This window comes from Homo sapiens, chromosome 5 (genome assembly GCF_000001405.40).
Source record: "Homo sapiens chromosome 5, GRCh38.p14 Primary Assembly".
NCBI classification, from domain to species: domain Eukaryota; kingdom Metazoa; phylum Chordata; class Mammalia; order Primates; family Hominidae; genus Homo; species Homo sapiens.
Genome location: NC_000005.10, coordinates 180,484,750 through 180,510,387, shown reverse-complemented (window position 1 = coordinate 180,510,387; position 25,638 = coordinate 180,484,750). Strand labels below are relative to the sequence as shown.

General features: G+C 46.5%; 1 protein-coding gene across 11 annotated transcripts in view, besides 5 other annotated features; it reads right to left on the bottom strand.

Moving 5' to 3' along the window:
• Positions 1-16,009, bottom strand: part of CNOT6 (CCR4-NOT transcription complex subunit 6) — an 83,980-nt gene extending 67,971 nt beyond the window's left edge. For 6 of the 11 annotated variants that reach the window (NR_163438.1, NM_001370472.1, XM_017009672.2 and 3 more), the window contains exon 1: positions 15,625-16,009. The gene's annotated coding sequence lies outside the window, so the exon portion shown is untranslated. Of the gene's footprint in view, positions 1-14,632; positions 14,737-14,799; positions 14,968-15,624 lie in introns of all 11 variants that reach the window. The other 5 variants (XM_047417436.1, XM_047417440.1, XM_047417438.1 and 2 more) reach the window with 2 other exon arrangements.
• Positions 15,240-15,499: a silencer, noted in NCBI's record as "silent region_16769". NCBI's record gives its function as "represses an Ori minimal core promoter by ATAC-STARR-seq in GM12878 lymphoblastoid cells {active_cell/tissue: GM12878}" and the evidence as "EXISTENCE:reporter gene assay evidence [ECO:0000049][PMID:35858748]".
• Positions 15,530-15,629: a silencer, noted in NCBI's record as "silent region_16768". NCBI's record gives its function as "represses an Ori minimal core promoter by ATAC-STARR-seq in GM12878 lymphoblastoid cells {active_cell/tissue: GM12878}" and the evidence as "EXISTENCE:reporter gene assay evidence [ECO:0000049][PMID:35858748]".
• Positions 15,800-15,939: a silencer, noted in NCBI's record as "silent region_16767". NCBI's record gives its function as "represses an Ori minimal core promoter by ATAC-STARR-seq in GM12878 lymphoblastoid cells {active_cell/tissue: GM12878}" and the evidence as "EXISTENCE:reporter gene assay evidence [ECO:0000049][PMID:35858748]".
• Positions 16,070-16,269: a silencer, noted in NCBI's record as "silent region_16766". NCBI's record gives its function as "represses an Ori minimal core promoter by ATAC-STARR-seq in GM12878 lymphoblastoid cells {active_cell/tissue: GM12878}" and the evidence as "EXISTENCE:reporter gene assay evidence [ECO:0000049][PMID:35858748]".
• Positions 23,657-24,856: an enhancer, noted in NCBI's record as "BRD4-independent group 4 enhancer chr5:179912532-179913731 (GRCh37/hg19 assembly coordinates)". NCBI's record gives its function as "activates an origin of replication core promoter dependent on BRD2, P300/CBP, MED14 and CDK7 cofactors, and independent of BRD4, by STARR-seq in HCT116 cells {active_cell/tissue: HCT116}" and the evidence as "EXISTENCE:reporter gene assay evidence [ECO:0000049][PMID:35650434]".

The following is a 25,638-nucleotide window of genomic DNA, read 5'->3' as shown; positions in this document are numbered from 1 at the left end:
CCTCCCAATGTCATCACATTTGTTTGTTTCTCTTTCTAGTCAGGTTTCCTTCACATATTGGCCAGTTAAAAGTTTACGGATAGAAGTCCTGGCTACTCGGAAGGCTGAGGTAGGAGGATAGGCTGAGCCCAGGAGTTTGAGGCTATAGCGTGCTATCATTGCACCTGTGAATAGCCACTGCACTCCAGCCTGGGCAACACAGAAAAACACCATCTCTTAAAAAAAAAAAAAAAAAAAAAAAAAAAAAAAAAAAGGTTTACAGACGATAAACCTCATTTAGGAGCTGTCCTTAGTGGCAAATGTCTATCATTAGTCTTTCCTTGTAGGAAATCAAACAAAAAACAGCAACAACAAAAAGCTTCTGCAAAAGATAACTACTCTTGACTAACAGGCAAAACTTAAATCATAACTACACATTTTGAGACTACTATAAATTGCTGATGATACTATGGCAGGTATCTTGGTATCAGAACCCCGTGATAATCTCCCAAAGCAAACCATATGAATTGCATAGGAGGAATTTAACAAAGAGTAGCTAGTGAAAAAAAAAAAAAAAAAACACCAAGGTATCAAAAAGGTCTTACTAGGCCACGGTAGGAGGATCACTTCAGCCCAGGAGTTCCAGACTGGGCAGCATAGGGAGATCCTGTCTCTACGTAAAAATAAAAAATTAGGCTGGGTGTGGTGGCTCACGCCTGTAATCCCGGCACCTTGGGAGGCCGAGGCAAGTGGATCACCTGAGGTCAGGAGTTACACCAACATGAAGAAACCCCATCTCTACTAAATACAAAAAAAAAAAAAAAATTAGCCAGGTGTGGTGGCGCATGCCTGTAATCTCAACTACTTGAACCCGGAGGCAGAGGTTGCAATGAGACGAGAATCCGCCATTGCACTCTAGCCTGGGCAACAAGAGCAAAACTCCATCTCAAAAAGACAAAAGCAAAAACAAAAAAAATCAGGGCCGGGTGTAGTGGCTCACAACTGTAATCCCAGCACTTTGGGAAGCCAAGGCTGGCAGATCATTTGAGCCCAGGAGTTCAAGACCAGTAACATGGCAAAACCTGGTCTGTAGAAAAAAAAATACCAAAATTAACCAAGTGTGGTGGCATGCCCCTGTAGTTCCAGCTACTTGGGAGCCTGAGGCGGGAGGACGGCTTGAGCCCAGGAGGCGGAGGTTGCAGTGAGCCAAGATCGCACCACTGCATTCCAGTCTGGGTGACAGAACCAGACCTTGTCTCAAAATAAAAAAATAAAAATAAAATAAAATAGGCCGGGCGCTGTGGCTCACACCTGTAATCACAGTACTTTGGGAGGCCAATGCAGGTGGATCACGAGGTCAGGAGTTTGAGACCAGCCTGATCAATATGGTGAAACCTGTCTCTACTAAAAATACAAAAATTAGCTGAGCATGGTGGTACTTGCCTATAGTCTCAGCTACTCGGGAGGCTGAGGCAGGAGAACTGCTTGAACCCGGGAGGTGAGAGTTGCAGCGAGCCAGGATCACGCCACTGCACTCCAGCCTGGGCGAGAGTGAGACTCCCTCTCAAAAAAAAATAATAATAATAATAAAATTAATTAATTAATTAAAATAAGATACATTAGCTGGGCATGTTGGCACACACCTGCAGTCCCAGCTACCTGGGAGAATGAGGTGGAAGGATTGCTTGAGCTCTAGAGATTGAGGTTGCAGTGAGCCATGATGGCACCTGTGCTCTAGCCTGGGTGACCGTGAGACCTTGCCTTGAAAAAATAAAAACATAAAATAAAAAACTTTACTAGGCTGGGCGTGGTAGCTCACACCTGTAATCCCAGCACTTTGGGAGGCTGAGGCAGGTGGATTACAAGGTCAGGAGATCGAGACCATCCTGGCCAACACGGTGAAACCCCGTCTCTAATAAAAATACAAAAATTAGCTGGGCATGGTGGCGTGCGCCTGTAGTCCCAGCCACCCAGGAGGCTGAGGCAGGTGAATCGCTTGAGCCCAGGTAGCAGAAGTTGCAGTGAGCCAAGATTGCGTCACTGCACTCCAGCCTGGGTGAGAGAGCGAGACTCCGTCTCATACTAAAAAAACAAATTATCATCTTGGTCTTCAATCCTGCCCTTTCTCCTATGCTTACACCCAGATTTCCAAACCAAAAATATGAGCATATCCTTGACCCTTCCTTACCTAGTCACAGTCTTCATATCCAGTCTCCAACTCTAGCCCATTTTACTTCCTAAATCTCTCACCCACTCTGCCTTAATTCCCTCAGCTCTTACCTGAGCTATTCCAACAGTCTCACACCCATAGTCTTTCCTCCACCACTCTCCCCATCTCTAATCCATCCTAGATACGGTCTGATATGGTCTGGGTCTGTGTTCCCACCCAAATGTCATGTCAAATTGTATCCCCAGTGCTGGAGGTGGGGCCTAGTGGGAGGTGACTGGATTACAGGGGTGGCTTTTCCCCTTCGGTGCTGTCTCAGAAAGTGAGTTATCGCAAGATCTGGTTGTTTAAAAGTGTGTAGCATCTCCACCCCAACTTCTTCCAGCTCTGGCCACGTGAAGACTACCTGCTTCCCCTTCACCTTCCTCCATGGTTTTAAGTTTCCTGAGGCCTCCCCAGCCACGTTTCCTGCACAGCCTGTGGAACCAAGAGCCAATTAAACCCCTTTTCTTCATAAATTACCTAATCTCACACATTTCTTTATAGCAGTGCAAGAATGTACTAAATATACCGTCCAAAGTGACAGTCCTAGAAATACAAGTACATCATGTTCCTAAAACTGTATCTTTTTTTGTTTTTAAAACGGAGTCTCGCTCTTGTCCCCCAGGCTGGAGTGCAATGGCGTGACCACGGTTCACTGCAACCTCTGCCTCCCGAGTTCAAGTGATTCTCCTAACTCAGCCTCCAGAGTAGCTGGGATTACAGGCACCCACCACCACGCCTGGCTAATTTTTTTGTATTTTTAGTAGAGACGGGGTTTCACCAGGTTGGCCAGGCTAGTCTCGAACTCCTGACCTTAGGTGATCTGCCCGCCTGGGCCTCCCAATGTGTTGGGATTACAGGCGTGAGCCACCACACCGGGCCCCTAAAACTATATCTTGTTCATCTCAATACCCTTGGAAACAGGAAACCCAGGCTCATTTACAAAACAAGTAAGTTGAGTTTGACTTGATCTCTGTATACCTCCTTAGTATCATCTTGGATCTCCCTAATTCCCACTTACCCCTCACAAACCTTCATGCCTTAGCAATGCCATGTCTTCTGCCTGAAACGCCCCAGACACCAAAAGGCCCCTAGTCATCCTTCAAATGCCAACTCAGACATTCAACTTTAAAACATGCATTACAACCTTCCTCCATATCCCTCCCAAACACAGAAGTTTACTGTTTCCAGCTCTGAGCTATGCTAAACCTCGAAAACATGTCTACTGTTGTATTCATTAAACCTGCCTTAGTATTTTTTTATCTCACATTCTGTAACACAGGCTTCTTCCATTTACATATCTTAAATATTTTTATAACTCCAGAGCTTGGCAAATATTCAGGTAATGCTTATATGAATTTAAAGGGAGAAGCCAGGATAGTATAAAAGCAAACATTTTCTAAGAGTGCAAAAGAAGCCTTAAAAGCAGTGCCTATCTTACTAGGAATAAGAAAAACTATTACCTAAAAGGCAAAATCTAGAGAAAATAGAAAGGACTTTAATATCCAAGAGAACTAAAAATACTGGTTCTGGGATAGCCTGAGGTAAGAAGCAAGGGGACAAACTTAAACTATAAAAAATCTATCTTAGTGACACGCTACGGCAAAATAAGAGCAAACATCAAATAGATAGGTGTAATGGCAAAAGTGTGTTGGGCACCTATCTGCCATGCACTGCACTAGGCATATAGTAGCCAACTATTCTGTGAGCACTCATTACCTGCCAGGTCTATCCAGCACTTTACATGCATTATCTCATTTAACCCTCAGAACTCTTGTGAGCAGACACTATTATAATCTTTACATAAAGAAAGAAGGTCCGGAGAATAACGTTCCTGAGGTCACAGGGATACTAAATGACACAACTGTTATTTTAACCCAAGTCTGATTCGAGTTTGTGCTTTCAACTACTATGCAATAATTTACCTGTATGACCTTGATTTAATTCTCACAGCAACCCATGAGGTAGATTCTACCTTTATCTTATAGAAGACGAAACTGAGACCCACAGTTTATGCAATTTACCCAAGATTGCACACTTAGTAACTGAATTGTAGAGCTGGGATTTGAACCAGGGACAATCTGACTCCAAAGCTAGTCTTTCTATTCTACCACAGCCTCATTCTCAAGAATTCTATCACTTGCAAGACCAAGATCTTCTGTTCATTATCCAAATAATATGTTGCTGGGATCATGAGCCCCTCATTTATGTCTCAGATGCATCATCTTTCCCAAATTAACCTCCTCACCTATACTTTACAGTCCCAAACCCTCCACAATACACTAAGACAGCAGATCTCAAAACACTACCGTCTCGGGACCCTTTTGCAGTCTTAAAAATTAACTAGTACTTGGCTGGGCTCAGTGGCTCAAGCCTGTAATCCCAGCACTTTGGGAGGCCAAGGCAGGCGGATCACAAGGTCAGGAGATCAACACTATCCTGGCTAACACAGTGAAACCCCGTCTCTACTAAAAAATACAAAAAATTAGCCGGGCGTGGTGGTGGGTGCCTGTAGTCCCAGCTACGCGGGAGGCTGAGGCAGGAGAATGGCGTAAACCTGGGAGGCGGAGCTTGCAGTGAGCCGAGATCGCGCCACTGCAGTCCAGACTGGGCGACAGAGCCAGACTCCGTCTCAAAAAAAAAAAAAAAAAATTAACTAGTACCACCTGTAATCCCAGTACTTTGGGAGGCCGAGGTGGGCGGATCACGAGGTCAGGAGATCGAGACCAGGATGGCTACACAGTGAAACCCCGTCTCTACTAAAAATACAAAAAAAATTAGCTGGGTGTGGTGGCGGAGGCCTGTAGTCCCAGCTACTCGGGAGGCTGAGGCAGGAGAATGGCGTGAACCTGGGAGGTGGAGCTTGCAGTGAGCCGAGATCGCGCCACTGCAGTCCAGACTGGGCGACAGAGCCAGACTCCGTCTCAAAAAAAAAAAAAAAAAAAAAATTAACTATTACCGCCTGTAATCCCAGTACTTTAGGAGGCAGAGGTGGGTGGATCACGAGGTCAGGAGATGGAGACCAGGATGGCTAACACGGTGAAACCCCGTCTCTACTAAAAATACAAAAAAAATTAGCTGGGTGTGGTGGCAGAGGCCTGTAGTCCCAGCTACTTGGGAGGCTGAGGCAGGAGAATGGCGTGAACCTGGGAGGCAGAGCTTGCAGCGAGTCAAGATCGCGCCACTGCACTCCAGCCTGGGGACAGAGCAAGACTTCGTCTCAAAAAAAAAAAAAAAAAAAAAATTAACTAGTACCTCAGAACTTTCATTGATGTGGGTTATAGCTATCAATTATCAGTAAGAATCAAATTAGAACTGAGAACTTTAAAAAATATTTATGAACTCTTTAACAGTAATAAACCTATCACATGTTAAATGACATTTTAATGAAAACTATTTTAAAAAACAAAGTAAAATTTAGTGAGAAGAGTGACACTGTCTCAGTTCCGCAAATCTCTTTAAAGTCTGCCCACTAATGTAAGGTATTAAGTCAAAACCATGATTTGTGTAGTAAAATCTCACCAAGATTAAAAAGGTAAGCAGTGGGGAAGTCATCAATCCTAAATCTGTTCTCTTACCATGAGACAAGCAACCACCATTTAGTTTATCACTTCAGCACCTTAATATTTATGCCAACATGAATCTTTGCAGTTTTCTTACCTTTTGCCAGACTTTCCAAAATCTATTTACTGCCCCCGCTCTTGGAATGAACCATAATATTCTAAGTACTACTATCTAGTGGGAATCTTGGTCTTTTGAGCCATTCAATATTTACTCTAGGCTGCCAATTCAGATACACAATGACTTGGGAAGTTGTAATGTATGAGCAATCAGTTTTGATCCACTAGTCTTTTCCCCTTAAAACTACAAAAGAAAATTATTCATAAAATGTTGACCTTACAAAGCATCAAGAAGCCTTTAACAACACCAGAATCTTACTCTAAGGCCACTGATAATGTTTCAGAAAATTTGAAAGCTATACACTGCTTTTTGACTACAGATGTATAACAGACTGCCTTTTCCAAAATAATGAAATGCTTTAGAACTGAATTTTTGACTAGCATGAAAAGTACTCTTATGTGGACTCTTGGGAGGTTTTTGATCCATAACCAAAAAGAGAATCACAAATATTAACAAAGATTCTGCCACTTAGTACTATTATGTCAACATGATCAACTACTAGTGTAAACGGTTATAAATTTGGGCCAACAATTGGGTTTTCCTATATTATCAAATTAACCTCAAAAGACCATTCCAAGTCATAATACCATGAGAGTGTGTTAAGAAGAAAAAGGGGCCAGGCGCAGTGGCTCACGCCTGTAATCCCAGCACTTTGGGAGGCTAAGGCAGGCAGATCACAAGGTCCAGGAGATCGAGACCATCCTGACCAACATGGTGAAACCCTGTCTCTACTAAAATACAAAAAATTAGCCGGGTGTGGTGGCGCACGCCTGTAGTCCCAGCTACTCGGGAGGCTGAGGCAAGGGAATCGCTTGAACCCGGGATGCAGAGGTCACAGTAAGCCAAGATGGCGCCCCTGCACTCCAGCCTGGATGACAGATTGAGACTCTCTCAAAAAAAAAAAAAAAAAAAAAAAAGGAAGTAGGGCACAGTGTCAGTAAGAATACAAACTGGGGCCGGGGGCAGTGGCTCACACCTATAATCCCAGCACTTTGGGGTGCCGAAGCAGGCACATCACTTCAGGTCAGGAGTTCGAGACCAGCCTGGCCAACATGGCAAAACCCCGTCTCTACCAAAAATGCAAAAAATTAGCCAGGCATGGTGGCGCGTACCTCTAATCCCAGCTGCTCGGGAAGCTGAGGCTGGAGAATCGCTTGAACCCAGGAGGCAGAGGTTGCAGTGAGCCGAGATTGCTCCACTGCATTCCAGCCTGGGCTACAAGAGTGAAAACTCCATCTCAAAAAAAAAAAAAAAAAGAAAAATACAAACTAGAGTCAGACCTGCATCAAGTCCTGGCTTGAAATGATGGGTTTACAATCATCTTTAATGCCTAAATTTCCTCACTTATAAATTGGTGGTATCTATGTCACAATTTTGGTGTGAGGATTAAATGAGACACATGTAAAGCAGCAGAGCCCACTGCACCACCGGCATTCAATATCATTTTTTTTCTTCAGTGGCTATGAACCCCTAAATCTTTGAGTTTCTATAGTTTCCATAAAACTAAAAACCAAATGACAATTCTTTAGTCTATAAACTATAGTTATCATTGTCATAATTTTAGATTAACAAAGGAAACTACTGGTCTAAAACATGGCAGTTAGCTTCATCAAATATTGTTTTATGATGCTGAAGTGTTTACTTAACAACAATACATAACCTTACAGAAGAAAAATATTTGCCTCCCAAAAGGCTGAGTGCAATACAATTTTTGATTTAACTTAGTCAAGTCATATCTTCATCTCTGTTTGGTTTTTAATTAGGAGAGATTACTAACACATCTATCTCCGTATAATCAAAATCTGCCTAGTAAAACTATATACAACCACTCAATGCACCTAATCACCTGTAATACTCTGTATTTGGATACACAGAGCCACTGGCTAATTTATTAAGTCTCTATGTGTTTGTAGCAATAACTTGGAAAGAAAATGACCATGTCTAATGATTTCCTCTTTGCTACTATTTTACACTTAAAACCGCATCAAATATTTAACCAAAGTTTGGGCAATGGAGCACAACATAAGTGCAAACCTAGTATATGGCATATGAAAGCAAATCTTATCCTTCTAGTAACTGAAGGCTGAAAATTGTAATATTATGAGTTTACATCAGATAATCTCTACCGCTAATGAGGACAAATCTTCTTCTTCTAGTAACTGAAGGCTGAAAATTGTAATATTATGATTTTACATCAGATAATCTCTATCGCTAATGAGAAAGAGTTTTTTTTATTGTTTTTGAAATCACATAAAATTCCGCAGGCAAAACAATTTTGTATCACCAAATAAAAATGCAATAATTTCAACCAATAGATCAGGGGAACGTTTGGAAACATACACGCAATATACATTATAAATTTATTTCCAAAGTTTTGGACTTAAGGAAACAAAGCTGGTGACTAACACAGGTGCCTACCTTCTCTCGACCCTGTCTCCTCTTTAAACTATTACCCTTCTTTCCTTCTCTTCTAGTTTAAATTTTTGCAAATAGTAGTCTATAACCTTCTTCATCTTAACCTCCCATTTGCTCCTCCGCCCAATCTACTATCTGACTTATATATGCCCTGGTCCCATAAAAATTTTCCCTGCATTCATTCCCCCACCTGTCAAATCCTATCAACCCATTTCCAGATCTCATCCCACCCTAAACCTGGGCACAATGATGACTACTGAAAACTCCTTCTTTCTTGGCACTATGACCTCTCTCGGCATCTGTAGCGTTACTCTCTCCTGTTCTGCCCTTGTCTCTTCAACCATTTCAATGCTGTCCAAAACAAAATATTAGCTGTTCCTTAGGGTTCCCTTAGTCCTCTCCTCTTGTGGTCCATAAGTTTCACACTTGCATATATGCATACTTTCATTCCCTTCAGCAGAGTCCATAATTCTTAACTGATTCTCAAATGGAGATCTTACCTCTGTCAAAAGGGTGAAAAACATTTGTTCACACACTCTTCCTGAGTAATCCCCTAACTTCCAATGCCAACTATACAATGACCAAATCTATCAAACCCCAAACCGCTCTCTGGTCCAGATATCTGTTAGACATATCCACCTAAGTATCCAGGAGGTATGTCAAACTTAACAGGATCAAAAATCAAACTATTCTACTTTCCTCGTCCAAATCTGTTCTTCTGTTTCCCAAGTTAAATCATACCAACAGTTCTCTAAGCTAAACAAGTTCTGAATCATACTCAACTCTTTCCTATTTTTATAGCTCATGGCTAGTCTGTCCCTAATTCTGGTATCCTGTGCTTTTCTATCCCCTATGCTGATGTACTTGAGCTCTCACAGGACGTAAATGAACTCTAACTCCTTTAATCCAGCTTCTACATTTTCATTATGTGCCTCCTGAAAAAGTATGTTACATGAACCACTTGCTCACCCATATCCACCTAAACTCTCACTGGATTTCTATCATATACAGGAAATCTCAACACTTTAAGAAAAACCCTACAACTATTCACAAGCTGTTTCTGACCACTCTTCCTGTCCCTCTCATCCCTGTGTCTTATGCTCCACAGCCCATGTTGTTCCCAATATGCTGTTCCTTCTCCCTGTCCTACTCAACCTAACAAATCCCTATCCATCCTTTAAAATCCAGCTTAAAGACCTCTGAGATGACTCCCTGGGTTTTCCAAGCAGAATGACTTTCTCCTTCCTTAGCATGCCCAAAATGCTTTGTGCTTTCTTAATTACTGTATAACCCGATGAGTACTCTATTGGTTCATTTGTCCTTCTCCACAACACTATAAACCTACTTGGGACAAAAGACTCTAAGCCCCACAAAGGTAGCATGTTACCTGACACATAGATTGTTCAACAAGTATTTTTGAAACTGAGTTATAGTACTATTTAAAACTAGTATTAAACAAGTATAATCAACTATAAAACTTGTTTTGAAAACGTGCATTTGAATTAGCCAGGCATGATGGCAGGTGCCTGTAGTCCCAGCTACTCAGGAGGCTGAAGGAGAATGGCGTGAACCCGGGAGGCGGAGCCTGCAGTGAGCCTAGATAGCGCCACTGCACTCTAGCCTGGGCAACAGAGTGAGACTCCATCTCAAAAAAAAAAAAAAGAAAAGAAAAGAAAAAGAAAACGTGAATTTGGCCAGGTGCAGTGGCTCACACCTATAAACCTAGCACTTTGGGAGGCCGAGGCAGGAGGACTGCTTGAGCCCAGGAGTGTGAGACCAAACCGGGCAACGTAGAGAGACCTCATCTCTACTAAAAATAAGAAAAATCAGCCAGGTGTGGTGGCACACACCTGTGATACCAGGTACTCAGGAGGCTCGGGTGAACCTGGGAGGTCAAGGCTGCAGCAAGTCATCATCACTCCAGCCTGGGTGACACAGAGTGAGACCCTGTCAAGAAAGAAAAGGAAAAGGAAAAGCAAAAGAAAGAAAAAGGGGGGAAAAAAAAAGAAAAGAAAAGGTGAATTTGTTCCACTGTGATTGATACACAAATTAGAGAACAATTTGAGCACAATCCATATTTCCTGTTTATTTATGTGCTATTCTGTCACATAAACACTAGATGAAGGGAGAAAGCTTGCACCCAGCCGAACTGAACTGTGTAGAAATACATGAAACACACTTCAAACACCCACCAGCTAAGTCAGTTTATTATGGGTTAAGAGCCACACCTATTTGCTTCTCGTGTTACAACCTTCCATCTGATTATAAGTAATTCTTCTACCACTTCACAGTAACTCACCAGCAGCAACCTTTCTGACATCCCTTTCCACAAGCAAACCAGGGCTTTTTCAAAGAAAATGCCACATTTATTACAGTATCTATATATTTCTTAACCATTCAACGTGTAAAACTGTTCTATCATTTTTACCAGGTTCCTTTTTTAAATGTGTCACTGATAAAGCTTTAGAGTGCTGTACCCCAACCCCATTTGTAAGTCATTTCTACTGCACGATTCTGCAAAGCAGTGATTTTTAGGAACCTGTATGTTGCTTTACAGCAGAACTGACTGTATAAATTAACAGTTGTATGAGAACTTCTTAGACCTTAAGCTAGTCTCACTATTCCAATTCCAATAATTTACTAGAGAGAAAACTGCCTTCCCCCCAAAATTTCACAAAATGTTTACAACCCATATCCTAGCAAACCATCAGGATACTGGTAACTTTTTAAGCTTGGTGGCTTTGATTTCAAGTGGACATAGGGTTGAATTTTCCAGCTTAAGGTCTATAGCCTGCCTAAGCCTAACTCAGAAGACAAGTATTCTCAACACCTGAACTTTCATGAGTAACATTTTATAACTTTCATTGTTTTGACTGCTTTTAACTTCTTCCAAAACATACTGACACTTTGATTTTAAATGACCCTGTATTATAGAGCAACTGGGCATAGCCCTAAAGTCCCTTAAGGGACCACAGACTCAGAAGACACCATATCCAAGTTAAAAATAGATCCAGGCCAGGCATGGTGGCTCACGCCTGTAATCCCAGCACTTTGGGAGGCCAAGGTGGGCAGATCACTTGAGGTCAGGAGTTTAAAGCCAGCCTGGCCAACATGGTGAAACCCTGCCTCTACTAAAAATACAAAAAAATTAGTCGGCGTGGTGGCAGGAGCCCGTAATCCCAGCTACTCGGGAGGCTGAAGCAGGAGAATGGCTGGAACCCAGGAGGCGGAGGTTGCAGTGGGCCGAGATCGCGCCACCGCACTCCAAGTGAGCCTTCATCTCAGAAAAAAAGAAGAAAACAGATTCAAAGTCACTAACTCCATACTATCTCAAATATACACTTGTAGGGCCTCCACTCTATTCTCCACAGGGATGCCAAAGTGACCTCCAAATCGCCTTGCTCCTCTGCTAACAATATTTTGGCTCTCTCTTCTGCTGTCAGATAAGGCTATACACTTCCCTTTTAGCTTAGCAAGGCTGGTCCTTCAAAATCTAGACCAGACACACCTTTGCAGGCTCATCTCGAGTCATTCCCACTGTTCCAGTAACACCTTATCACTAGCCTTACCCTAACACTTGACACCTCAGTGCACCCACACTTCCTTCTGTTTGACATGACTCCCTCTCCCCAGTTTGGCAAATTCCTATTCAGTGTTATTTTCCGTAAACTGCCCCCACACCCTCCACAAGTTTAATCATTCTCTATTGTGTTCTCCCACAGCACTCTGTGCACCTATGAAGCCTATACACTATGAGAAGGCAAAATCGGAGTATTATTTGTCTTTGAATTCTCAGTGTTAAAACACTATGGCCAGTACATACCTTAACGTGTAACTGAAGTTACCAAGAAAATATAAATGGATGAAGGAGAGGTGAAGGACAGAGAAGAGCGAAGTGGAGACAGCCTAAATGAGTCCTCATCTTGGATCAAATAACCCCCCACCTCGCTAATTACTTATTCAAGTACCAAAATACAGTACATTCCATTATACTCTAATGTACCCCAGCTATGCATACAGTATATGTTTACAGTTTACTCAGCATTTTTTTTTTTTTTTTGAGATGGAGTTTCACTCTTTTTGCCCAGGCTGGAGTGCAATGGCGTGCTCTCGGCTCACTGCAGGCTCTGCCTCCCAGGTTCAAGCGATTCTCCTGCCTCAGTCTCCCGAGTAGCTGGGATTACAGGCATGTGCCACTGCGCCTGGCTAATTTTGTATTTTTAGTAGAGACAGGGTTTCTCCATCTTGGTCAGGCTGGTCTCGAACTCCTAACCTCAAGTGATCCGCCCGCCTCGGCCTCCCAAAGTGCTGGGATTAAAGGCATGAGCCACCGCGCCCAGTCTCAGCAATTCTTAATTTCACATACACAGCGTTTTATTAATCACACTTTTGTTATAAAATGACTGTATGAGTAATGGGTATAAAGATATCTACATATCCAAGTCTTTGGTTTTCCCAGTAAAACATACATTTTTAGCTGAGCCTATTAGGACTTTTCCAAAGTAATAAATGCTTTCAAGCAGAGCTTCCCAAGCCAGTGGACCTTGCATATGGGAATGGGTTCTAAAGGTGCTGAACATACTGATCCCTCACCCCTAACGGCCCAAAGAATACAGCTGTGAGCTGCCTTAACCATTTATTCCAATATGTCTTACATATATTATCCTTTTCTGTTGCACTATGAAAAAGGTTTATCATTTAAAGAATATAAGAAGGCAAATATAGGTACTGGAATGTCTAAGCATTCACCAAAATGCATACTTTTTTTTTTTTTTTTTGAGACGGAGTTTCACTCGTTGCCCAGGGTGAAGTGCAGTGGCGTGATCCTGGCTCACTGCAATCTCTGCCTCCCAGGTTCAAGCCATTCTCCCACCTCAGCCTACTGAATAGCTGGGATTACAGGCATGCGCCACCACACCTGGCTAATTTTGTATTTTTAGTAGAGACAGGGTTTCATCATATTGGCCAGGCTTGCCTCGAACTCCTGACCTCAGGTGATCCACCCATCTCGGCCTCCGAAAGTGCTGGGATTACAGGCGTGAGTCACCGCGCCTGGCATAAAATGCATACTTTTAAACTACATGTACAGTGGGCAAATTCCTACAACGCCTTTACACATTTGTAGTTAGGACCAAGTTCTATAAACCAACCTTATGTCTGCTCAAAAGTTTGAAATTTCCCAATAATTGTAGTTTTACTTTGCCAACAACATTTAAGCAACCTGAAAATACCTACAAATTGAACAGGCATTCAAGAGGAGCCGCTTGGGCTGCATCACCACTATCAAGACACTATGGAAATTACCTAATGATTGACTTTCAGAGAAAATCTTCAGTCTCACAAGAAAATCTGTCTTTCGTCACCGTTTTTATAAAGTGATCAAGACAAGGTCTCACTACGTTGTGACAGTTATCACAGACTTTATATATGTTACTTTATATTTTTCTGAGACAGGGTTTTGCTGGTCTCAAACACCTGGGCTCAAGCCATCCTCCTTCCTCAACCTCCCAAAGCGCTGGGATTACACGGTGAGCCACCATGCCTGGCAATTGCATCATCTTTTTTGATCATTTCGTTCAGCATCTCGTTCATCGACTGAGAAGTGACCTGAAATAACTTCCAACCATTAACATACCCTCCCTCCTCCCAAAAGAACAAACCTCTAGCGATTAGGTCGCACACTCATGCGCTCTCACACGCACACAAACCCGGTCCTTTCCCTCCTCATTACAGTACCATGGGCAAGTCACCTCCACCTAGAAAGGTCTGTCTTCTCATTAGCAGCTGTTCATGTATTTTGTTTAAAGCAAAACACCTGGAGTAGATCACAGATCTAAAGATATTAAGCAATTTTTATTCTAAATTTTACTCTAAAAGTCATCACATTCTAAACACTGTGATGGCCAGGCATGTTGGCTCATGCCTGTAATTGCAGCACTTTGGGAGGCCAAGGAAGGAAGATCGCTTGAGCCCTGGAGTCGGAGACCAGCCTGGGCAACAGAGCAAGGCTCTACAAAAAATTAAAAAATTAGCCGTGGTGGTGTCTGCCGGTAGTCCCAGCTAGTCAGGAGGGTGAGGCAAAAGGATCGCTTGAACCCAGGAGGCGAAGGCTGCAGTGAGCCGAGAACTGTGCCACTGCACTCCAGCCTGGGTGACAGAGTGAGATCCTGTCTCAAAAACAATAAATAAATTAAATAAAGACTGTGATAAATGTCTTAACAGCAATTCCCCAAAAAAGCCTTTAAACCCTTTTGATCAATGGCCCACGTCCACTCCTACAGCCTACTAATCTGTTCTAGAGTAGTAAATTCTAGTATATTGTAAAAAATACAAAGTGCTACTACACACCATTTTATTTTTCAGTTATTCATATTCACTCTCTTCCTCTTCAAAGTTAAATTCCCAGATACAAGTAGGCAAGAAGATTCAGCACTAACAATGAGACAATCCACCTGGAAAACAGGTAAGTATGGGAACTCAAATTGAAGCAGATTATCTAAAACACATCAGCTTACACAGTAACAACAAATCCAAAGAGCTCGAGCGAGATGACCATTCACAACGCTGTCAATGGCAACAACAGTTAAAAACAGAAGGCCACAGGTGTTGGTTAGCAGGCTCTTCGGGGAAGGTGAAGGAGGTAAAGAATCAAAGGAAGTTTCCAAAGAAAATAGCGATTAGTGCTGAAAAACAAAAAGGAGGGATGCAATTTGGGTTACCAGAGAAAACTGCTTGTAGAAACCAGTACAATCTCCGAATCCTTCGCAATACTATAAAATAAGCATCCTCATTGCATGCCAAGTGCTTCTTTAACCTGTAATCCACCCCGTCCTCTCCCTCAAAATCTGCGTTAAACTGAATTTTAAAAACATTTTAGGGGAGGGGGTAAGCAGTTGGTTTCCCGCTTGACAGTAATTGTGGCCACGGAGCGCGAAGCTCCACACTCCACACAGCGCGCCACCCACAGAGGCGCTTCTCAAAAGTTGCCACCCATCTTGGCCACGAGTCCCGGGACACGGACTCGCCTCCTCCGACGACGGCAGCCGGGACCGGCCGGGATCCGGGAGCCCAGCGCCGACCCTCTCCCCTCTGCGCGCCGCCGCCGCCGCCGTCAATCAACGCCCCCCTCCCAGGGACTCGGCCCGGGGGCGCGGCCCGGGGCGGGGCGCGATCGCGGCGCGTCGAAGGGGCCCCCAACAGCCGCCAGCTTGCGGAGCAGCGGGACCGCCGCCCACGAAACGAAAGTTGCCCGCGACCGAGCCCGGCCGACGGGGGGCGGTCCGTGCGCGGCCGGAGAGAGGAGCGGCGCCCCGACCGGGCCTCCGGCCTGCCTCGCTCACCTCTCGGGGTGCGCCGCCTTCCTCCGCCGCTGCCGCCTCCTCCTCCCTGTGAGTGCAGCGGGGTCTGCCCTGTGGAACCACCATACCAGTCCCGCCCGCTGCTGCAGCGCCGCCACCGCCGCCGCTCCTCTGCCGCCTTAGTCGCTGCTCTTTGTTCCCCCTCCGAGAGCCACTGCTTCGGCTGCCCGCCTCAGCCGCCCCGACGGGCCGCCACTACGCCCTCCCGCCCTCTCGGCCCCCGGCCTCGCCCTCCTCGCTGCGCCCGCCGCTGCCTTCGCCTCCGCGCCGCCGTCGCCGCCGCCACCGACGCCGCCGCCTCCTCCTCCGCGCCCCCCTCGTTTTCATTGAAAGCAAACAAGCATCATGGCGGCGGCCGCCGTCCCTCAGCCAGCGAGCGCCCGGACCGCCGCCGGCGCTCCAACATCCTGGCCGCTCATTGGGCGCCGTCGCCGGGCACAACCATCCGCCCTTCGGTGCGGGGGTCGCTCCCGGCACGCAGCTGCCCAGGCCCCGCCCCCTTACCCCCGCGCTGGAGAGCGGTGGACCGGCCCGGCGCGCTGCGGGCCCTGCCTCCCTGCCTGCCGCCCTCCATCCCTTCCTCTCCGTCCATCCTTCGTCTCCTTCTGTTCCCGCTCTCCTCGCTCCTTTCCTGCCTTGGCACTTCTGTTTTCTCCTCTCCTTAGCGCTCCTCCATTTTTCATCTACTTCTTTTTCCGCCCCAGGTTGTCCACTTTTTTTTTGTTTTTTGAGACGGTGTCTTGCTCTTTCACCCAGGCCAGAGTGCAGTGGGGCGATCTTGGCTCACTGCAAGCTCCGCCTCCCGGGTTCACACCATTCTCCTGCCTCAGCCTCCCGAGTAGCTGGGACTACAGGCGCCCGCCACCGCGCCCGGCTCATTTTTTGTATTTTTAGTAGAGACGGGGTTTCACCGTGTTAGCCAGGATGGTCTCCATCTCCTGACCTCGTGATCCGCCCACCTCCGCCTCCCAAAGTGCTGGGATGGCAGGCGTGAGCCACCGCGCCCGGCTGGGTTGTCCACTTTTATCTCCTCTTTTCCTTGATCGTCCTCCCCTTTTTTTCTCCTCTTCCTTTTCCTTAAGCCTTCGCCTGTCAATCACGTCGAAACACAGTATTTGACCGGAGCCAGTATCTTGATCTGCCTAAAGACAAGACATTCAATCGTGAACAGTCGAATATTATTCCTTCCTCAATTATACAAAGAAGAGTAAGTTAACATACCACTTCAGCCTATTAATGGTAATTCATTCCATTACATTAATGGACAGTTTTGGTGCTGGGGTCCTAGCCTGGGTAACGGACAGCAGCTGCTGTGCTCCAAGATCAAAAGGTGTTCAGGGCAAACTCTGGTGTTTGAAGGTCAGCAGAGAAATGACTGGGCTGATTCATGATGCTTACATCAAGAAATATTAGTTGACTGATGGTCAGGGCACAGAGATGAATCAGACCCCACCCAGCCCTGAGTAAGCTCACAGTCTAGGGGCAAGAATAACACCCAACAGACTTAATATTGGAGGTATATTGGTCGGGCGCGGTGGCTCACGCCTGTAATCCCAGCACTTTGGGAGGCCGAGGGGGGCAGATCACCTGAGGTCCGGAGTTGGAAAACAGCCTGACCAACATGGCGAAACTTCGTCCCTACTAAAAGTACAAAAAATTAGCCAGGTCTGGTGGCTTGCACCTGTAATCCCAGCTACTCGGGAGGCTGAGGCAGGCAGGAGAATCATTTGAACCTGGGAGGCGGAGGTTGTAGTAAGCGGAGATCGCACCATTGCACTCAGGCCTGGGCAGCAAGAGCGAAACCCTGTCTCAAAAAAAAAAAAAAAATTTGAGCTATATGTTGAAGGCGTGAAGGAAAAGGAAAGCTGCCTGCCCACCTATGTGGCAAACTAGGATAGGCTGCTAACTGCTTCCTGGAAAATCAACCCTGAAGAAATGAGAGTGAGACAGGTTCCAGGAACTAACAGTAGCAACAAACCGAGGCTTCTGCTTCAGTGAAGGCTGTTGAGAGCTGGGGATGTGGGAAATGGGTTGCTGTTGCCTGGGGTGGAGGAGACCTGGCTGGAAGGGCAAGGAAAGGATGAGGGACAAAAGCTGTTCAGAGGTGAAGATGATCCCCCTCTCCCCAGCACGGCCTTGGGATGGTCATCGCTTGGCACTGCCATGACATCAGGAGTGACAGCCCAGGCCTCTAGCGCCATAGGACACTGGGCAAAGACAGAGCAGTGCAGAAGTTTAGGAGTCAGGAAGAACACATGTAGACCAGTAAGCTGCCTGTGGCCATCCCTCCACAACCTCCTCCTGTACAGCAGGGAGTTGTGCGGCCCTGTGCTGTACAGAGTATCCCAGGCTGAGGGGCCAATGGGACAGACACCCTGCAGGGCCTCTCCTCCCTGTGTGAGTGCCCTGGCCGTCTGTGCTCCAGCCTGGGTGCCTTTTTGTAATTTGGCCAGAGGCAGCTACCTCAGCCCGGTGCGGGGACTCAACGCCTGTAATCCCAGCACTTTGGGAGGCCGAGGCGGGCAGATGACTTGAGGCCAGGAGTTCGAGACCAGCCTGGCCAACATGGCAAAACCCCGTCTCTACTAAAAATACAAAAAAAAAAAAAAAAATTAGCTGGGTGCAGTGGCGGGCACCTGTAATCCCAGCTACTTAGGAGGCTGAGGCATGAGAATCGCTTGAATCCAGGAGGCAGAGGTTGCAGTGAGCTAAGGTTGCGCCATGGCACTCCAGCCTGGGCAACAGAGCAAGACTGTCTCAAAAAAAAAAAAAAAAAAACTCAAACAAAACAAAACAAAAAACAGAGGGAGCAATTCCCTTGTGACTGGCACGACTGTATGGAGGAGGGGAGGTCTTGTTGCACAAAATCTTGGTAGCATAAAGCAACAGTTTTACTGTATCTCATGATTCTGATGTTCACCCTTGGGGCCTCATGCCTATACCAAAGGTGGCAGCTGGGTGTTGAATGTCTGGCACCTCGCTGCCCCCTAACGAGGCCTCCCCCGCAGTGTCTCATCCTTCAGCCTTTGTGTGTGGCCCCTTTCCCCAGCAGGAGGTGATCCTGCACTTCCTACATGACAACCAGGGGCTCCAAGAGGAAAGCGAAGCTGCCAGGCCTTCTGAAGAAGGCCACTTCCTCAATATTCTATGAATTAAAGCAGGCACAAGCCCAAGCCAGATTCAAGAGGAGAGGACATAAGCTGTGGAGGAGCTGCGCGTGCATGCAGGGCGGGGTGGACTAATTGGAGCCCTCTGGGGAGACTTGCTGCCACCAGGAGGGTACGATAGTGGCTCTGCTGTGCATGCCCTTTTCTTTCTGCATATCCGAGGAGAACCCCGCAAAATACCTACTCACCCTTTCAGGCCAGATCAAAGTGCCCCTCATGTTAGGCCAGACCTCCCATTGCAAGTTATAAAACTCACAACTCAATATTTCTTTGCAAGAAGGAGGGAATTGAATTGAAAGAGGGAATGCTGAACCATTCAGGCATTGTAAGGTGGCATCAAGAATCGATCTCACCTCCCACCCTCCATCCTGTTCTCTCTGCAGGCCTCACAAGCGGGAAAGATGCCACCAACACCTGCAGGCTTAGATTCTACCAGCTTCTCCGCTTAGAGAAGGTGCTTCTTTCCTAATGATTCCAGCCAAAGACCCAGGGCAGGCTCTCACTGGCCTGGCCTGGGCCTTGTTTCTACTGCAGTCAGGCAGTACCAAAGCAGGACCAGTCTGGGATTGATACGTGCTAAGCGAGGACAGCATGAATTGGTGGCAGCCAGTGCCATCTTCCCCACCACATGGAGAGATGAGACACTGGTGAAGATGTGGAGTCTCAGAGCAAGGGCCTGACAACTTGTTTCAGTAGTTTTTTCCTTTAGCTCGTGACCTATACCAGAACCTATTCCAGGTATACAAACCAATACTTTTTTTTTTTCGCTTAAGTTTGAGTTTGGCTTCTGTAGCTTACAACCAAAATAATTCTAATTTGACCAGTAAATGCGTTGCACAGAGGGATGCGTCACCAGAATAGGGTCATCATCCGATGTGCACAGCAAGTCAATGCGCCAAGACACCAGGCTGCAGCAGAGGAGGTTTGAATCCTAGGGCCACTGGATGTGGAGACAAGAAGAAACCAAATCTGCCTCCCTGATGAGTTTGGGGCTAGGATTTTCAAGGGTTTTGGAGTGGGCTGAAGAATGGAGATTGCTGGTTTGTCAAGGAGAGCAGGATGAAGCCGTGCTGATTCTCATGCTGATTGGTTCCTTTGGGCAAGGGTTGGGGGTCTTCAAACTGGTTGGCATCACCTGTTCGACTGGAGTTCAGGATCTGCTTGAGCACTTCTTTCATATTTATTTACTTATTTTTGTTTTTTTATTTTTTTCCCTGAGACAGAGTCTTGCTCTGTTGCCCAGGCTGGAGCACAGTGGCACAATCTCGGCTTGTTGCAAGCTCCACCTCCCAGATTCAAGCAATTCTCCTGCCTCAGTTTCCCGAGTAGCTGGGATTACAGAGGCACACCACCACACCCAGCTAATTTTTGTATTTTTAGTAGAGACGGGGTTTCACCACGTTGGCCAGGCTGGTCTTGAACTCCTGACCTCGTGATTTACCCGCCTCGGCCTCCCAAAATGCTGGGATTACAGGTGTGAGCCACTGTACCCGGCCTATATTTATTTATGTTACTGTATTTTTGAGACAGGTTCTCACTCTGTCACCCAGGCTGGAGTGCAGTGGCATGATCACGGCTCACTGCAGTCTCAACCTCCTTGGGCTCAGGTGATCCTCCCACCTCAGCCTCCGGAGAGGCTGGGACTGCAGGCATACACCACACCCCGTTAATTGTTGTTGTTGACATGGGGTTTCACCTTGTTGCCCAGGCTGGTCTCCAGCTCCTGCCCTCAAGCAATCTGCCCGCCTCGGCCTCCCAAAGTGCTAGTATTACAGGCGTGAGCCACTGTGCCAGGCTGCTTAAGTGATTTTTAAACAAAAGCCTTAGGACCCTAACATCAGAAATCCCATCTGTAGTAACAGCGGGGGTGCATAATGGTCAGTGTCCGGAGCTACATGACTTTCTGTTACAAGGAAGTGGGCCTAAGTGCCGCCTGATTAATGCTTAATTATAACTATATTTCTGTCCGGGATTCCTGTTAACTCTGAGAGGGTGGCCTCAGATGGGTGGTTCAGTAATGAAAATGGACACCTAGGTGATGGCCATGATTGTTGATGTTGCCGTGGTGTCTGTCACTCAAACATGACTGGGGCATTGGAATTCCAACCTGGGACTGATGGAGAATGTTGCTGTGGTTTGAATATTTGTCTCCTCCAGCACTCATGAAGACAGAATTAACAATCAAAAGAGAAACAAAGCAGACAAATTTGCAAAACTCAGCCTGGCCATGTAGAATGAAAAAGTGTGTTCAAAAGCAGAAACCAAGGGTGGCCCAGTGGTCTTTCACCAAGATTAGTACAGAGAAAAAGGATCATCAAAGAGCATGGAGCTGGTCACTCACGGTGGCTCACACCTGTAATCCCAGCACTTTGGGAGGACGAGGCGGGGTGGATCACCTGAGATCAGGAGTTCGCGACCAGCCTGGCCAACATGCTGAAACCAACCCCGTCTCTACTAAAAATACAAAAAATTAGCCGGGCGTGTTGGCAGTCGCCTGTAATCCCAGCTACTTGGGAGGCTGAGGCAGGAGAATTGCTTGAACCTGGGAGGTGGAGGTTGCAGCGAGCCGAGATCATGCCGTTGTACTCCAGCCTGGGCAACAAGAGCAAAACTCCACCTCAAAAAAAAAAAAAAAAAAATAGAAGAAAGACCTCTAGGGCATTTTGGAGGTCTTTGAGGCTACACTTGCTGTCACAGGCTCTGAGGCCTAGAGGGCCTAGAGGGCAGAATGGTTTCAAGGGATGGCCCAGTATTGAGAGGTGGGGTCTTTAAGAGGTGATTGGGCCATGAGGACTCTCCCAGGCTGGCAGATCGCTTGAGCTCAGGAGGTTGAGACCAGCCTGAGCAACATAGCAAAACCCCATCTCTACAAAAAATACAAAAAATGAGCGGGTTTTGGTAGATATTGCCAAATGGCTCTTTGAAAAGTCTGTACCAGTTTATATTTCCACCAACAGTGTATAAAAGTCTGTTTCCTTTTTTCAAGTCAACTAAAACTCTGTCTCCGACTCTGTTTCTCTCTGTCTCTTACACATACATGAATAAGAGTCTAAGGGAAATAAGTATTTGAATTTCACAGTATGTATATATGAAGGTAAATAATTCCTCAAAGTTTCTCTGACAATGTTCTCAAGGTTAGGTTACCCTATTTTCTTTAACTGAGGTAAAATTCAGCCCACATGAATGAATGAATTCATTCATGGATTAATTAATGGGTTATCATGGGAGAGGAACTGGTGGCTTTGTAGGAAGAGGAAGACAGACCTGAGCTAGCACCTTCGCACACCCATCCCTGTTGCCATCTGATGCCTTGTGCTGCTTTGGGACTGCAGGGAGTCCCCACCAGCAGGAAGTCCCCACCAGATGTGGCCCCTTGACTTTGGACTTCTCAGCCTGCAGAACTGTAAGAAATAAATTCCTTTTCCATATAAATTACCCAGTTTAAGATACTCTGTTATAGGCAAAAGAAAACGAATGAAGACAAATGTGGACCATTACTGTATGGGTCCAGCAGCTGGATTTGCCAGGGGCCCCAGAGATATGCAGTGTCGATTACAGACTGACCACAAGAACCAAAATGCGCAGGAGAATGATGAATGAAGCAGGTCCCAAGGTTTATTTGCAAGAAAAATTTGAACAGCCGTGTGACAAACCCGCTTCTAGTAGGAAAGCACATTCTAGAGGGAAGCAAAGCCATTCGGAGGTTGTTTGGTGAGTCTGAAATACAGACCTGTGGAGCCATTCAGCTCTTAACAGTCTGACACCTCCTCTCTAGGGCTGCAGGCTTAGTGGCCAAAGACCAGCGCTGGTGACAAAAATTTCCCACTGCCATGCAGTGCCAGAGACATGGACACACCCTGGACATCTGTCTCCCTTTCTCTGGACTTGAGGCTTGCAGGCCACAGTTCTCCTTAGATAGGGCCTGGTATCGTAGATGAAGTTTCAGATCCCAATCATATCTTACCCCTATTATCCTTTGTCCCTGAGCCCATTGTATTAGCCTGCAATTGGCTGAAAACCTAACTCAAACAGCTTTAAGAGGGGGACAAAGGAATTAGTTGGCTCACGTAGCATTAAAAGACCAGGAAGATGGCCAGGCATGGTGGTTCAAGCCTGTAATCCCAGCACTTTGGGAGGCCAAGGCAGGCGGATCATGAGGTCAGGAGATGGAGACCATCCTGGCTAATACAGTGAAACCCCGTCTCTACTGAAAATACAAAAAAAAATAGCTGGGTGTGGTGGCGGGCGCCTGTAGTCCCAGCCACTCGGGAGGCTGAGGCAGGAGAATGGTGTGAACCCGGGAGGTGGAGCTTGCAGTGAGCTGAGATCGCACCACTGCACTCCAGCCTGGGCGACAAAGCGAGACTCCATCTCAAAAAAAAAGAAAGACCAGGAAGAGTCCACTAGCTGCAGGTGTGGCTTGATCTGGGAGCTAATGCCACTCGGTTCTGCTCACCTCCATGGTGACTTTATCATCAGGTGCCACATTCAAGAAAAGGGGATACCATCTCCTTCAAGGTTCAAGCCTGGCAGGAAAGAGAATGTCCCCAAAATGGTCGAACAGAGGTCCTAGGCCTGACTCATTTCCATCTCTGAATCAAACACCATGTTCTGGCATGTGTCATACACCAGTCAGGAAGAAGTCACATGCCCTACTTGTGGAGGCAGATCGTCTTCAGCTGCACTCAAGCATATATGGAAAGAGTTGATGGGGGCCGGGTGCGGGAGCTCATGCCTGTAATCCCAGCACTTTGGGAGGCTGTGGCGGATGGATCACTTGGCGCCAGGAGTTCGAGACCAGCCTTGCCCACATGGTAAAACCCTGTCTCTACTAAAAATACAAAAAATTAGCCAGGCATGGTAGCGCATGCTTGTAATCTCAGCTACTTGGGAGGCTGAAGCAGAAGAATCATTGAACCTGGGAGGCAGAGGTTGCAGTGAGCCAAGATCACACCATTGCACTCCAGCCTGGGCAACAAGAGTGAAACTCTGTCTCAAAAAAAAAAAAAAAATTAGTGTGGAGTAGTCAGAGGAAAATCAGGGATACCGTTGCTGGAAGAAAGAGGAATAGAAGCAGCAAGGAAGAAAGGCAGAGGCCTGAGGTCCACGTAGAAGCAGCAAGGAAGAAAGAGGCAGAGGCCCGAGGTCCACGTAGAAGCAGCAAGGAAGAAAGAGGCAGAGGCCTGAGGTCCACGTAGAAGCAGCAAGGAAGAAAGGCAGAGGCCCGAGGTCCACGTAGAAGCAGCAAGGAAGAAAGAGGCAGAGGCCCGAGGTCCACGTAGAAGCAGCAAGGAAGAAAGAGGCAGAGGCCCGAGGTCCACGTAGAAGCAGCAAGGAAGAAAGAGGCAGAGGCCCGAGGTCCACGTAGAAGCAGCAAGGAAGAAAGAGGCAGAGGCCCGAGGTCCACGTAGAAGCAGCAAGGAAGAAAGAGGCAGAGGCCCGAGGTCCACGTAGAAGCAGCAAGGAAGAAAGAGGCAGAGGCCCGAGGTCCACGTAGAAGCAGCAAGGAAGAAAGAGGCAGAGGCCCGAGGTCCACGTAGAAGCAGCAAGGAAGAAAGAGGCAGAGGCCCGAGGTCCACGTAGAAGCAGCAAGGAAGAAAGGCGCGGAGGCCCGAGGTCCACGTAGAAGCAGCAAGGAAGAAAGGCGCGGAGGCCCGAGGTCCACGTAGAAGCAGCAAGGAAGAAAGAGGCAGAGGCCCGAGGTCCACGTAGAAGCAGCAAGGAAGAAAGGCAGAGGCCCGAGGTCCACGTAGAAGCAGCAAGGAAGAAAGAGGCAGAGGCCCGAGGTCCACGTTCCATCAAGCCTCCACCTTCATGCAACAGGCCTCCTGCCAGCTGCTTCCTTCGGCACTTGTCTCTTCCTGGCCTCACACTCAGTATGTGGAGTCAAGAAGGTGCCTCGAGGCCTCAGAATGCAGGAGACAGAGCTTCCCATGCAGAGTTCAGATGCACTCCCAAAGACTTACCTTAGAGAATTGCTGGGAAGGGGAAAAGGCAGCTCATTTGGTTTTGTTTCTGGTTTTGCGTTTTGTTTTCTGTCTCTCTTTTAACTTCTTTTTCCTTATTCTTTAACACAACATCAAAACTATACTGATGCTTTTTGGTTTTTTTAAGAGATGGGGTCTTACTTTCCACCCAGGCTGGAATGCATTGGAATCCACCCACTTTGGGAGGCTGGGGCAGGCGGATCACCTGAGATCAGGAGTTCGAGGGCAACATGGTGAAACCCCGTCTCTACTAAAAATACAAAAATTAGCCGGGCATGGTGGCAGGCGCCTGTAGTCCCAGCTACTCGGGAGGCTGAGGCAGGAGAATTGCTTGAACCTGGGAGGCATAGGTTGCAGTGAGCCGAGATCGTGCCACTGCACCCTAGCCTGGACGACAGAGTGAGACTCTGTCTAAAAAAATTAACAAATAAAATAAAATAAAATGGTAAAACTTAAAAAGCAGAAAGGCATGATAAAGGAAGTGAATATCTCATCCCTATCCCTATTCCAGCCACACTCCCCAGAGACAAGCATTTGAACTGATAGATTACCATGCGCTGACCTTGAATAACAAACCCGGCGCCCTTACTGACTCCTGTGACGAGAAGTCCAGATACAGGCAGCCTTTAGGGCTGTTTGACTTAAGGCTTAATACTGGTGTCTAAAAGGCCTAGAAACAGGACAAATTTGTTTTTAAACAGCACGTTAAGCACATTTCAAATAATATGCTCTGTATGTCTTTCTTCAACTACTAGACACCGTTTCAGATGAATTAACCTCTAAATTTAAACCAGTGGGTCCGATTGTCAATCGGGGGGAAAAAAGAACCAAACAAAGCTCTA